The 14,844-nt window shown below is 41.8% G+C and overlaps 1 long non-coding RNA gene across 3 annotated transcripts in view; it reads right to left on the bottom strand.

Moving 5' to 3' along the window:
• LOC107986129 (uncharacterized) overlaps positions 1 to 14,844 on the bottom strand; it is a 90,956-nt gene that overhangs the window by 41,210 nt on the left and 34,902 nt on the right. The window lies entirely within an intron of this gene.

Consider the following 14,844-nt stretch of genomic DNA (forward strand, 5'->3'; position numbering starts at 1 on the left):
AACTGTTCTCAATGTTAGTTAGGGAGCAACAATAATAAGAAATAACTTCTCTTGTTTTTCCCAGGTGTTCAGGCCTATTCTAAGAGCCTTAGATGCCTTTGCAACATCACGTCTCTAAAAGATGGGAACCATCACTATCGCCATTTTGCAGAAGAGACTAAAGATTAAGTGAATTGCCCAAGATTACCTGGCTGGTAGTCCCTGGTCTTTTTCTACAGCTTACAAAATCATTTATCTCACACTTCAAGAAGAAATGCTATGTTAGCAGGCAGCCATGAATTTGGGAATTCTGGACAATTGTGTAGAATACTTTTGTGAAGTAAGGATTGTAGTCTGAATCAGTTAGGAAAACAGTGGCTTAGAAGAGACAAGGGGGCAGGGGGCAGTGGCTCACGCCTGTAATACCAGCACTTTGGGAGGCCGAGGCGGGTGGATCACCTGAGTTTAGGAGTTAGAGACCAGCCTGACCAACATGGTGAAACCCCATCTCTACTAAAAATACAAAAAATTAGCCAGGCATGGTGGTGGGCGCCTATAACCCCAGCTACTCAGGTGGCTGGAGCAGGAGAATCGCTTGAACACGAGAGGTGGAGGTTGCAGTGAGTCAAGATGGCGCCATTGCACTCCAGCCTGGGTGAGAAGAATGAGACTTTGTCTCAAAAAAAAAAGACAAGGGTGCATTTCCCCCAGCCTGCCAGAAGCAGTCCAGGGCTGGCATAACAGCTCTGCAATGCCACTGAGAACTCTATGGTCTTTCGGGTGTGATCCATACCCTTACACATCTAAGATAGCTACTGGGAGTGGCAACAGGAGGAAGAAGTCTGGCTGAGTCATCCCCTTTGTATTTTTTATTTTTCTGAGACGGAGTCTTGCTCTGTCCCCCAGGCTGGAGTGCAGTGTCATGATCTCAGCTCACTGCAACCTTTGCCTCCCAGGTTCAAGTGATTCTGTTGCCTCAGCCTCCCGAGTAGCTGGGACTACAGGTGTGCGCCACCACACCCAGCTAATTTTTGTATTTTTAGTAGAGGCAGGGTTTCACCATGTTGGCGAGAATGGTTTCCATCTCTTGACCTCGTGATCTGCCCACCTTGGCCTCTTAAAGTGCTGGGATTACAGGTGTGAGCCACCATGCCTGGCCAAGTCATCCCATGTTTAAGGGACTTCTTTCCCATCCAACTTCTACTTCGAGCCCACAGACCAGATCTTAGTCACAAGGCATCTTCATCTGCAGAGGAAGCCAGGAAATACATGTCTCTGTTGGTTTGGTTTGGTTTCTATTTTTTTTTAATTTTAGTACATTGTTGCCCAGAATAAAATTAAGATCATATTAGTGAGGGACAAGTGGATAACAAATACTGGGTGGGCGAAAGCAGGATGAACCCCAGATGACCTAGAGCACTTTATGAACTTATAACAATTCCAGGTAGACATCTCCCTGCATGGCACAGCCTGGCGAGTGATGATTCCTCTGTGTGAAGCTCTCAAAGCACCCATTTCCTCCAGGTGCAGGGCCTGGAGAGGGAGCCCAGGCCCCTGCTGCCCTCTGCCAGGCCCCCTGTGTATTATGGATGAGTCGGCTTGGGCTGCTGTAACAGACAGGGAGTCTTAACCAGCAGAAATCTATTGTCTCATGATGCTGGAGGCCACAAGTCCCAGATCAAGATGTCACAGGGTTGGTTCCTTCTGGGGACTGTGAGGGAGAACCCATCCCAGGCTTTTCTCCTTGGCTTGCAGATGGCCATCTTCTCCCTGTGTCTTCACAATCATCTTTCTTTTTGGGGTGCCTGTCTCTGGGTCAAAATTTCCTCTTTGCAAAGAACATGAATCATTGGATTAGAGCCCATCCTGAGAACCTCATGTCAGCTCATCTCTGTACAGACCTTATCTCCAAGTAAAGTTACTTTCTGAAGTCCTGAGGTGGGGACTCCAACAATTCAGCTCCTGTGTGGTGCATGACCTTTACAACGGTAAGAAGCAAGCTGCTCCAGTACTGCCTATCCACAGTGTGACCCCATGGAAACCCAGACTGCCTGCTCACTTCACCCCACATTTCACATAGCCCCTGGCTCCACACTGGCCTTTGGTAATACTCAACAAACAGCTACAGATGAATGAAAATGCCAGCAAATCTGCCTAGAGAGGTGCTTGAATGGCTCCCAACAGGCTCCTCAGCCTCACTTCCTGCTGCTTCACCCTCACCCCTGTGCTTCAGCCTCCCCAGACACAGTGGCCCTGACTGAGTCTGCACTTTGCATCCCTCTGCCTGGAATACCCTCTCCCCAGAGAGCCACATGCCTCCCTCCCTCCTATCTATTTTGTGGCAGGCAAGCTGGGGAGCTGATTCAGGATTATTGGGTGGGCCCGATGTAACCATGAATCCTTGAAGACAGAAAAAGCAGAAAATCTTCCTGGCTAAGTCAGAAAGTAGACACTAATTGGAGAGAGACTGAGTCAAAGCATGAGAGGGACTCCATCCGCCATTGTCAACTTTGCAGAGGGAAGAAATGAGCCATAAGCCAGGGAACCTGGCAGCCCCTAGAATCTGGGAATGGCCTTCAGCTGACAGCCAGTAAGGAAATGGGGCTTGAGTCCTAAAATGCAAGGAATTGAATTCTGCCAACGACGCAGCGGGGCAGTAAATGGATCCTCCCCCAGAAGCCCAGAGAGGAATGCAGTCCTGCCAACACCTTGATCATGGCCGGGTAATACCCTCATTGGACTTCTGAGCTTCAGAACTGTAAGATAATATATTTGTGTTGTTTAAGCCACTAAGTTTGTGGTAATTTGTTATGGCAGCCTAAGATACTCATGTTATTCAGGTTCCTGATAAAATGTCACCTTCTTATAGAGGGTTTCCGAGACCATCGACCTGCATTTCTCCTGGTTTACTTTTCCCCACAGCCCTTGTCACTAGCTGATGTCACACTGTACACTTATCTGTGTTTTTGCTTCTCTTCTCTCTCTCCACTAGTGTGAGCTCCAGAAGGATGAGATATTTTGTTTTGACCCCTTGTAGGCATTTAATAATTATTTGTTGAATGAAAGAATACCATAAACAGGGTTTAATTTTGTCAGCTGCTTTCTCTATTTAGATAATCATTTGGGTTTTTTCCTTATTTCTGTTAACATAGTGAATTGATTTACAAAGATTAAATCAACTTTGCATTTCTAAGATAAACCCCACTTGGTTATGATATATAATCCTTTTCATATATTTCCGGATTTGATTTTGCTAATAGTTTGTTTAGGAATTTTGCCTCTATGTTCATGAGACGTAGATGACATGTCGGTTTTTTGTTTTGTTTTGTTTTTGTTTTGTAATGTCCTTGTCAGATTTTGGTATCTGAGTTATAGGAGACTCACAAAATGAATTGGAAAGTGTCATCTCTTCCTCTTTTATCTAAGAGTTATGCAAGCTTGGTATATATTTCTTTTCTTTAAAAGATTGGTTGAATTCACCAATGAAGCTATCTGTGCCTAAGTTTTCTTTGTGGGAAGGTCTTAAATTATAGATTTAATTTCTTTAGCAAATATGACTACTCAGATTTTTTTTTACTTCTGTCAGATTTATGCAGTTGTGTTTTTCAAAGGATTTTCTCCATTTCCAATACATTCATGATATTCCCTTGTTATCCTTTTAATATCTTTAAGATCTGCAGTGATGCCCCCCTTTTCATTGGAGATGTTGGTAATTGATAATTTGATTTGTTTGTTTCTCCCTTAATCTCTCTCTCTCTCTATCATGTTATGAGGGAATTTATCAATTATATTAGTCATTTCAAAGAACTTTTGTTTCTGTTGATTTTCTCTATTGTTTGTCTTTTTTTCATTTCATTGACTTCTGCCCTCATCTTCCCTTTCTTTTCTTTTCTTTTTTTTTTTTTTTTTTTTTTTTTTTGAGACAGAGTCTTGCTCTGTTGCCCAGGTTGCAGTGCAATGGCACTATCCCAGCTCAGTGTAACCTCTGCCTCCTGGGTTCAAGCAATTCTCCCTGCCTCAGCCTCCCGAGTAGCTGGGATTACAGGTGCCTGCCACCATGCCTGGCTAAGTTTTGTATTTTTAGTAGGGATGGGGTTTCACCATGTTGGCCAGGCTGATCTCGGACTCCTGACTTCAGGTGATCCACCCACCTCGGCCTCCCAAAGTGCTGGGGTTACAGGCGTGAGCCACTACACCCGGCCCTTTATTTTCTTCTTTCAACTTTTCCGTGGTTTAGCTTGTTCCTCTCTTTCTAGCTTCTTGGGGGTATAACTGAATTACTGGCTTTAAATCTTCCTTCTTTTTAAATATATATATATTTTTATATATAAAAATTATATGTATATATTTATATATATTATATATATAAACATATATAATATATAAAAATATATAATATATATATTATTATATATAATATATATTTATATATATATTATAAAAATATTATTATATATAATATATATTTATATATATATTATAAAATATATATAATATATAAATATATATATATATTTTTAAAGAGACAAGGTCACGCTCTGTTGCCTAGGCTAGACAGCAGTGGCATGATCATGACTCACTGCAGCCTCAAACTGTTGGGCTCAAATGATCCTCCTGCCTTAGCCTTCTGAGTAGCTAGGACCACAGGCATGTACCACTGTGCCAACTAATTTCTTTTTTTTTTTTTTTGGTAGAGACAGGGTGTCACTATGTTGCCCAGGCTGGTCTTGAACTCCTGGACTCAAGAGATCCTCCCACCTTAGCCTCCTAAAGCCCTGGGATTACAAGCATGAGCCATCCTAAATTTTTTTATTTGTTGTATTTTCGTTATCATTCAGTTAAAAACGTTTTCTAATGTCTCTTGTGATTTCTTCTTAAACCCATATATTATGTAGATTCATTTCTAAACAGTTGGAGCTTATCTGATAATCTTTTTGTCATTGACTTCCAGCTTGGTTCCCATGTGGTTAAGAAACACACTCTGTTTGATTTTAAACTTTTGACATTTATCCAAAATTATTTATGGTCCACAATATGATCTATTCTGGTGATGTTTCATATCCATTTGAAAAGAATACATATTCTTCAGTTGTTGGGTATAATGTTCTCAAATTTTGACCAATTAGTTCAAATTGGTTTATAGTGTGGTTCAAATCTTATATATCTTTATCCATTTTTTGTCTGCTTATTATTCTATCAGTTATTGAAAGAGAAATGGCATAATGTGAATTTGACTTTTTTAAAATCTTAGTTCTATAAATTACTGAGGCATACAGGGTGAATACACTTTAGGACAGTTAACACTTCCTGAAGAATTAACCCTTTATCATTATTCTTTATCATAAGGATGAAAAGCACACCCTTCTCCCTGGAAATATTAATGTAGGTCATCAGCTATATCAGTATAGCAATGATATTAATATAGCTGCATCTGCTTTCTTATACTGTTTCTTTTTCCATTATTTTACTTTTAACCTTTCTGTATCCTTATATTTAAAGATAGTCTCTTGTAAACATTATAGGGTCAAGTTTTCTTTTTTCTGTCCAAACAAACTCTCTTGTTTCATTGGTGTGTTTATTCCATTTACGTTTTGAACTACTCATATGGTTGGGTGTAAGTCTGCCATCTTTCTGTTTTGTTTCCACTTGTCCCTTCTCATCCATTGTTTCTCCTTTCCAGACTTCTGAATTAATCAAGCATTTTTATTATTCCTTTTTATCTTTTGCATTCAATTAGTAATAACTCTTTATTTTATACCTAGTTGTTGCTCTAGGGATTATAATATGCCTCCTTAACTTATCATACTCTACCTTAAGTTGATATACAACTTCATGTACAATGCTAGAAACTTACAACAGTTTAATTTCTTTTAACCACTCACTCCCCTTTAGGTTACGTATTATATATTTTACCTCTACATATTATATAAATCCACCCATACTCTGTTATTAGTTATTTCAAGTGGTCAGTAGGCTCTAAAATGTATTTTTTGAACTGTTCTTTTCTATTTATCTAACCATTTCTGCTTCTAGTGGCCTTCATTCCTTCTTGAAGATATGGGCTTCCAACTGGGATCTTTTATCCTCACCCTTGTCTTAGTTCGGGTTGCTATAACAGAATACGATAGTCTGGGGGGCTTAAACAATAGAAATCTATTTTCTCACGGTTCTGGAGGTTGGAGTTAGGTCAGGGTGCCAGCCACACTGAGTCCTTGGTGAGGGCTCTCTTCCAGGTTATGTCCTCCCTCACACAGCCTTCCCTTGTGCATTTACACACAGAGATCTCATGTCTCTTCCTCTTTTTATAAGGGCATTAATTCCACCAGGAGGTCCCCAACCTCATGACCTAACTTAATTCTAATCACCTCCCAAAGGCTCCACCTCTGAATATGATCCAATTGGGGATTAGGGTTCAACATATGAATTTGGGAGACACAAACATTCAATGCATAGTGACCCTGAAGAACCTCCTTTAATATTTCCCAGGCTGGAGTGCAATGGCACAATCTCAGCTCACTGCAACCTCTGCCTTCCAGATTCAAGCAATTCTGCCTCAGCCTCCTGAGTAGCTGGGATTACAGGCATGTGCTACCACACCCAGCGAATTTTTGTATTTTTAGTAGAGACAGGGTTTCACTATGTTGGCCAGGCTGGTCTCGAACCCCTGACCTCAGGTGATACACCAGCCTCGGCTTCCCAAAGTGCTGGGATTACAGGCGTGAGCCACTGCACCCAGCTGAAATTCTTTTTCCTTTCCATGCTTTACTTAGGTAATTTCTACAATCTGTTTTGTGTTTACTTATTCTTTCATTTATTGTGTCTGGTCTGCTGTTAAGCCCTTCTGATGAGCTCATCATTTCAGATATTTTTCTGTTCCATAATTTCTAATTGGTTCTTTTTTAGAGTTTCAATTTCTCTGCTAAAATTTTCCATCATTTCATCAACTTTTTCCAGTAAGTTATTTAGCACAGCAGTCCCCAACCTTTTTGGCACAATTTTTCCACTGATGAGGGTGGGGGTGGGGATGGTTTCGGGATGTTTCAAGCACATTACATTTATTGTGCACTTTTTTTTATTATTATTACATTGTAATATACAATGAAATAATTATACAACTCACCATAACAAAGAATCAGTGGGAGCCCTGAGCTTGTTTTCCTGCAACTAGATAGTCCCATCTGGGGGTGATGGGAGAAGAGATACCTGAAGTGTGTTGCTTATGTCCAGTCTGTTCTCATTTTGTCCAGTATCTCGTTTTGGTTGCTGTCACTGCAGAAAACCCTGCTTCACAAACAGAGGATGCTGGAAATGGAAGCAGGTTTTTCAGTGCTTTTGTGGCAATCTCAGGATACTCCGCCTTGACTTTAATCCAGAACATATGGGGATTTGAAGTTGTCTCAAACATACTTTTAAGGCCACCAGATGCAGCTGTACAACTGAAGTATATTGACTCACTTGCCAGCCACCAATTGCAGCTTAATTGTCACTTGCCACTCACTGGTAGGGTTTTGATATTAGCCTGCAAGCAGTGGATTTATTGTGGTCTTATGGTCTCTGTGCAGTGAAAACTGTCTGCTAATGTTAACCTGTATTTGCAGCCACTCCCTAGCACTAACATCACTGCCTGAGCTCCCCTCAGATCATCAGGCTTTAGATTATCATAAGGAAAGTGCAACCTAGGTCCCTCCCATGTGCAGTTCACAATAGGATTCATGCTCCTATGAGAATCTAATGCCACCACTGATCTGACAGGAGGTGGAACTCAGGCAGTAATGTGAATGAGGGGGAGTGGATGTAAATACAGATCTCGCTTGCCCGCCACTCACTTCCTGCTGTGTGGCGTCGTTCCTAACAGGCCATGGACTAGTACCGGTTTGTGGCACAAGGGTTGGGGACCTCTGCTTTAACATATTTATAACAATTATTTAAAGACTATTCTCTGCTAATTCCAACATCTAGTTCACCTTTGAGTCTGTCTCTTTTGATCATTTTTCCTCCTTTTGATAAACCATCACATTTTTTTCCTTCTTCACACATAGAACTGATTTTTCAGCATATGCCAGACATTGTGTGACTCCTAGAAACTCTGAATTTTGTTACCTTTCTCTAAAGCGGGCTGAGTTTTGTTCAGGGAGTCTGGTGGATCCCTTCAATTTTGCTGAGGCTGGGCTTTTCGACATGTCTATTTCAATGTTTCCCTTAGTCATCAGGCACAGCCCTTACTTCTATAGCATGGTTCTTACTCTTAATGAAATGACCTTTCTGGGGTTTTAATTAAATGCCAGAGATGCCCACCAAGGTCTATGGCTTGACTGGCTGAAATTCTTCAATGATGAGTTATCATTGAAATCTCTGATCAACTCTCTGTTCCTAGGAGCTGTTCTCTATTAGGCATCATAGTGTCTTGCCCCGGACATGTTCAGTTTAAGATTTAGCCAAGGACCTTAAGGGAGGCCTTATACAAAGTTAAGGAATTGTCTCTCATCTGGTACCCTGACACACAAATTGCCACTGTCACAGAAGCCACAAGCAATGTTTCCAGATTCCCTGCCCAGCTTCCCTTCCCTGCTGCTCTCTTTGCTTGACTAAATTATCCCCCACTGTGGTTTAGAAACCAACTTCAAGCAGAAAGCCAGGATAAATATCAAGTACCTCCCTTGGCTCAAGGCAGCTCAAGGCTTTAAGCCACTGTCCAAGGCCTGAAAACCATTGTTTCACATGTTTTGTGCATTTGTTATAGTCTTCATGATAGAATGGTAAGTCTAATGCTACTCCATCACAACCGGACTGGAAGTCTTTGAGTAAGTTACTATCTGCACAAACAAGAGGATGATTCAAAATTACCTAATGCAGGCTGGGTGCGGTGGCTCACGCCTGTAATCCCAGCACTTTGGGAGGCCGAGGCGGGTGGATCATGAGGTCAGGAGATCGAGACCATCCTGGCTAACAAGGTGAAACCCCGTCTCTACTAAAAATACAAAAAATTAGCCGGGCGCGGTGGCGGACGCCTGTAGTCCCAGCTACTGGGGAGGCTGAGGCAGGAGAATGGCGTGAACCCGGGAAGCGGAGCTTGCAGTGAGCCGAGATTGCACCACTGCAGTCCGCAGTCCGGCCTGGGCGACAGAGCGAGACTCCGTCTCAAAAAAAAAAAAAAAAAAAAAAAAAAAAAAATTACCTAATGCAATGGAACATTAAAAACTCAATTACTGCCTGTCTCCCTCTGAGCCTACCCTGTAGCTGAGTTGATCCCCACCACAGGCCTCTGTTTCCTCCTCTTTCCCATCAGCCATGGTCTTACAGCCTGTCACATTCAAGTTGACATTCTATTCATTTACCGTGTTCTTATTCTGAACCCTTCCTTAGACACAGGAGTTACAAAATTGCCATTATTGGAAGGAAAGCACAATTCAAGAAAAAAGCTCAAAGGATCTCAAAAATACAGATTATATAATAAAAAAGGACAATGGCTTTTAAATATACTAATATATTCTATTACAGACCAAATACATGAGAAATTAGAAACCCCTGAATAGCTGTTGGCTTGTATTGCATTTTAAAAAGACAGAAGATCTTGAGAATATGCCCTAATGGAGGAATAGCAATGACAACTCAAAACAGACAGCTTTTTTACATATATTAGTCTCTTGCATTTGAAATGGTAATGAATGATATCTGCCCCACACCTCTCCCCCACAATCCAGCTAAGGTTAAAAATAAAAATAAGAAGGCATGCTCCAGGTGGGCAGTCAGGAGGATCCCAGGAATATTCTGGGCACTTGCTATAGCTGCCAAGAATAGGATTCAAGGTTTATCCCAAATAATCTATGAAATGGAAAGAAACACGAAGACAATTAATATTAACAATCCATTATGGCAAAACTGGGCACTCTCCAGATGCTTTAATATATATATATATATATATATATATATACATACACACACACATACACATATATACACATATACACATATATGTACATTATATATATATATATTTTTTTTGAGACAGAGTCTCACTCTGTTGTCCAGGCTGGAGTGCAGTGGTGGAGGTTCACTGCAACCTCCACCTCCCGGGTTCAAGCGATTCTCCTGCCTCAGTCCCCTGAGTAGCTGGGATCACAGGCGCATGCCACCACACCTGGCTAATTTTTGTATTTTTAGTAGAGGTGGGGTTTCACCATGTTGACCTGGCTGGTCTCAAACTCCTGACCTCAAATGATCCACCCACGTCAGCCTTCCAAAATGCTGAGATTTCAGGCGTGAGCCACTGTGCCCAGCCACTTTAAAATATTTTTGACTACCTGTATATAACCCAAGTCTTTAAGAGTTCATCTTAACAGACTTCCATTTGTAGAACATGCTTAGATTCTACCCTGAGTCCCTTTATTGATTCGAGGTCTTATCAAGTCACAATGTTTACTAGTTTTGAAAATGTGTTTAACATGGAAAACACTGCTGCGTCTCGCCACAGCATTTTATCTTCACATCTGGCTTGGGGACCATCAGCTTACCAAGTCCACTCACGCCCGCTAATGTTTCCAAAAGCTTTATTTTGGAAATTTGGTGCACTTTGGCTTTGAAACATGTGTATAGATGATTTTTAACATAAGAAGCCCTGCATTCATTGTTATTTTTAAATAAATGTATGCAACTGTTAAATTTTGTGTTTCTTGGGTTTTGTTTTCCACAGCTGACTGGGCATATTCCCAGTGAGAAAATAAGGTCAGCAAAACAGCTGCAATAGTGGAAAAGGGACCAGTGGCCATGAGAGAGAACCAATGAAAGAGCATCTGCTAATGTATTAATGTGATGTCATGGAAGAACTAACCATCTTAAAGATTATAAAATGCAAGGGTATGAGGCTTCCAGAAGATACCTCTTAAAGGCCCAGCAAATTATAAATATGTTGACAACACTTCATAGATAGATTAACACATATAAAATGTATCATATGAAAGATAACATTTATCCTAAATTAGGCGTGGTTCTAAGTCTAACGAATATTCAGATGGCAGAGCTAGAAGAAACTGAACATTTTTCTTCCTGGAAAGCAGTAAACTTTGTTCTAATCTCAGTCATCCTTCTACCTAGCTGTGCAACGCTATTTAGACAACCAGGGCCTCGGTTTCTTTATTTGAAACCAAATTCCTCAGAATTTTATTATTTTATCCTCCTTCCCCTCCCCAATAGAATGTAATTCTCTGAAAACTTAATGTATCTGCTTCAGATACTTCTGTTCTTTTAGCTAAGTGCCAAGGATTGCAATGGAAGAATGGTAAGAAATATTTTTTCCATGGTAAGGGTGATGTTTAGAGCACAGAAAACAGCAAATGCATTACTCGGCATCCTGACTATACTCTTATTGTGAAGCCTAACCTTTTAAATTGTTTTAAACCGGATGCTCTGAGGCTAGTAACTTGATGAATTAACTCATAAATGACTGCATTTCAATTTGGATGTCCCTATATGGACCCTGGCACAGGCTAGCGTTGCCATGGCTGTTCTCTAAATGAACATATAGATTTTACTTATTTATTTATTTATTGAGACAGGGTCTCACTCTGTTGCTCAGACTGGAGTGCAGTGGTATGATCTCAGCTCACTGCAGCCTCGAACTCCGGGTGCAAGCAATCCTCTCACCTCAGTCTCCCAAGTAACTGGGACTACAGGTGTGCGCCACCACGCCTGGCTAATTTTGTTGTATCTTTTGTAGAGATGGGGTTTCACCATGTTGCCCAGGCTGGTTTTGGACTCCTGAACTCAAGCGATCCTCCTACCTCGAGCCTCCCAAAGTGCTGTGATTACAGTCATGAGCCACCATGCCCAGCCCATATAGATTTATGTTAAATAATTAATTAGCATATTTCTTAAAAGGCTGAAATCATCAAAACAATTTGCTAAAATTTATAGACTTACAATTCTTTTCACTTAAACAATTTATCATATGTCCCTAAGGCTCTTTCATCTTTACACACCTCTAAACACACAGCATGCACAGATTCATCAGATACACAGTCACACACTTGCATGATCTATTGTTTCTCATACTTTTCCCTTAGAACTATATGATCTTTATTTATAATGCCTACAAAATAGTGAAATTGATAGAACAATTTTGTCAACTTTATCTGTGTCAGACTGAAACATGTAAATTAAGGTCTATTATTGGTGTGTTTTCGTTCATTTCTTCTTACATTTCTTTCTTTTGTTTTTCTTGAGATGGAATTTCGTTCTGTCACCCAGGCTGGAGTGCAATGGCCTGATCTTGGCTCACTGTAACCTCAACCTCCCAGGTTCAAGTGATTCTCCTGCCTCAGCCTCCCGAGTAGCTGGGACTACAGTCGTGCACCACCACGCCCGGCTAATTTTTGTATTTTTAGTAGAGACGGGGTTTTGCCATGTTGGCCAGGCTGGTCTCAAACTCCATTGTTATTTAGGCAATAACACTGTTTTTGCTTAATGGTGATCTTTTCATTCTTCAGTGTTCTTAAATTTGGACAATATGATTTGTCAGCATTACAGACAAGGTAGTACACAAGCTGTTCTGCTCTCTACCTGATTCAGACATTGCCACGGCACATATAACACTGGCATCCTGTATCATTTAGCTTTCTCTGTTTAACAAAACACCCCTAAATTTAGTGGCTTAAAACAACGAAGTCATTATCTCCCATGGTTCTGTGGGTTGGCTGAGTGGCTCTTCACATCATTAGTTCGGGAGACGGCAGTGTGGCTGGTCTTGAGGGGCCTGACTGCCAGGTCTGGCTTGCTGTCAGCTGAGGCCACAGCCATATGTCTGTAATCAAGCAGCAGGCCAGCCTGGGCTTGTTCACATGGGCACAGGGGGGCTCGCAGCAGCACGGAGGGGCGAGCCCCAACACACAAGCGCTGCTCAAGTCTCCACCTGCATTCGTCTACTGTTGTTCCAGTGACCAGACAAGGGCCAAGTCCAGAGTCATGTGGGCACAAGGCCATTTCACAAAGAGTCTGCCCCACTCTATGCCATTCATCTGTTCCCTTTCTTTGTTTTTGCCTTAGGTCTGTTGTCAAATGTATTCAGCATCCAATCCTTTTCTGAGGTTTCCCCTGTCATCTTCCGGCTGGTTGGAGTTCATCCTCATGATAACAGGGACTGGGTGGAAATGCCGTCTTCTAATTTGCATAAAAGCACTGCACGTGCTAGCTGCAGGCCTGACCTTCAGCTATACTGTAGACAGCCTTGAAAGTGCCTTTGCAGAATTGTAAGTAATGAAATAAATCTAACATGATGGGCTCCATCTTGATTCTAACCTCACAGGTTAAATTGTTTTTTGCTTATTCTAGCGCAGAGGCCAAAATAACCATAAGAGGAATTTAGTTAAAGTTTGAGGCAAGGAAAACTGACCCCCTCCTTTTTCAGAGACCAAAGCTGCATTAATAAGATAAGATTAGAATTATGGCAGGGGCTTGAGCTTTGCTAAAGAATAGGCATAAACAATGACCTGCCATTGCTTAGTGTGTTTTCTACAAGTTGCTTATTGCCCCAGAGTCATGTAACCAGGGGTTACATGATTTAAAAGCTTCCCAAGTACTCCTACACCATTGTGAAAACTAAATAACTAGTCTTTGAGATATTTTTTTAGATTTAGCATTTCAACAGACAAACAGATGCCACCTGGTCCTAAGACCCACTCCCCAACTCCCAGGAACTGACTCAGCTACTAAAAGGCAGTTTTAGACACACCTGTTATTTTGTTCCCACCCATACAATTATTCCAGTTCCCAAGCCCCATCTGCCAAAGTACCATTAAAAAACTCTAGCCTCCGAATTCTCCGGGGGACAGGCTTAAGAAGTTTCTCCTGTTCTCCATGCTTGGCTGGCCCTGCAATTAGTAAACTCTTTCTTTGCTGCAACACCTGCTGTTCTCATTTTTTGGGGGACAGTGGGCAACACGCAAGAAGAACCCATTAGCTTGTGACAGCCTGAGTCTACAAAGAAGGAGGATGTGGCTGGAATGCAAAGTCTGGGGAATCAGCCTGCTCACCTGACCACGCTTCCATCCCTGGTGTACTAGTCAACGTTCTTCAGGAAGCGGGGGTTGCAGTGAGTCAAGATCATGCCACTGCACTCCAGGCTGGGTGACAGAGTGAGACTGTCTAAAAACAAAAAGGTTCTCCAGGGAAACAGAACCAACAGGAGATATAGATTTATAGACAGATAAAGAGAGGGAGAGACTAAGACAGAGAAAAATAGGAAGATGCAGCTCTCTAGGAAAATTATTAGGGGAATGGTCTCATATGATTATGGAGGCCGAGAAGCCCTCCCATCACCTGCTGTCTGCAGCTAGAGAACCAGGAAAGCTGGTGGTAAAATTCAGTCCCAGCCCCGAAGTCCTGAGAACCAGGAGGGCAGATGGTAGAACTCCCGGTCAAGTCCACAGGCCTGAGAACCAGGTGCTGTGATGTCCAAGGCAGGAGAAGATGGATGTCCCAGCTCAAGAAGAGAGTGAATCCCCCCTTCCTCTGCCTTTTTGTCCTATCACGCCTTCAATGGGTTAGGTGATGTCCAATCTGGGGAGGGTAGACATTTTTTACTCAGTCCACCATTTCAAATGCTAACCTCTTCCAGAAACACTCTTACATGCACACCCAGGAGTCATGTTTTACCAACCATCTGGGCATTCCTTAGCCCAGTCGAGTTGACACACAAATGAACAATCACATCTGGGCTGCTATTTTTTATTCCAAGTCATCAGCCAGCCCTCAGTTCTTACTGGATCCAGAAAGAACTTCCTCATATCCAAGAGCCAATGCTGAGTTCTCAGACACTCTGGGTGGAATTTACAACCCTGAAGGGATGACGGCATCATGGTTCCATGGTTCCTG

Source organism: Homo sapiens, chromosome 3 (genome assembly GCF_000001405.40).
Source record: "Homo sapiens chromosome 3, GRCh38.p14 Primary Assembly".
Classification (NCBI taxonomy): Eukaryota; Metazoa; Chordata; class Mammalia; order Primates; family Hominidae; genus Homo; species Homo sapiens.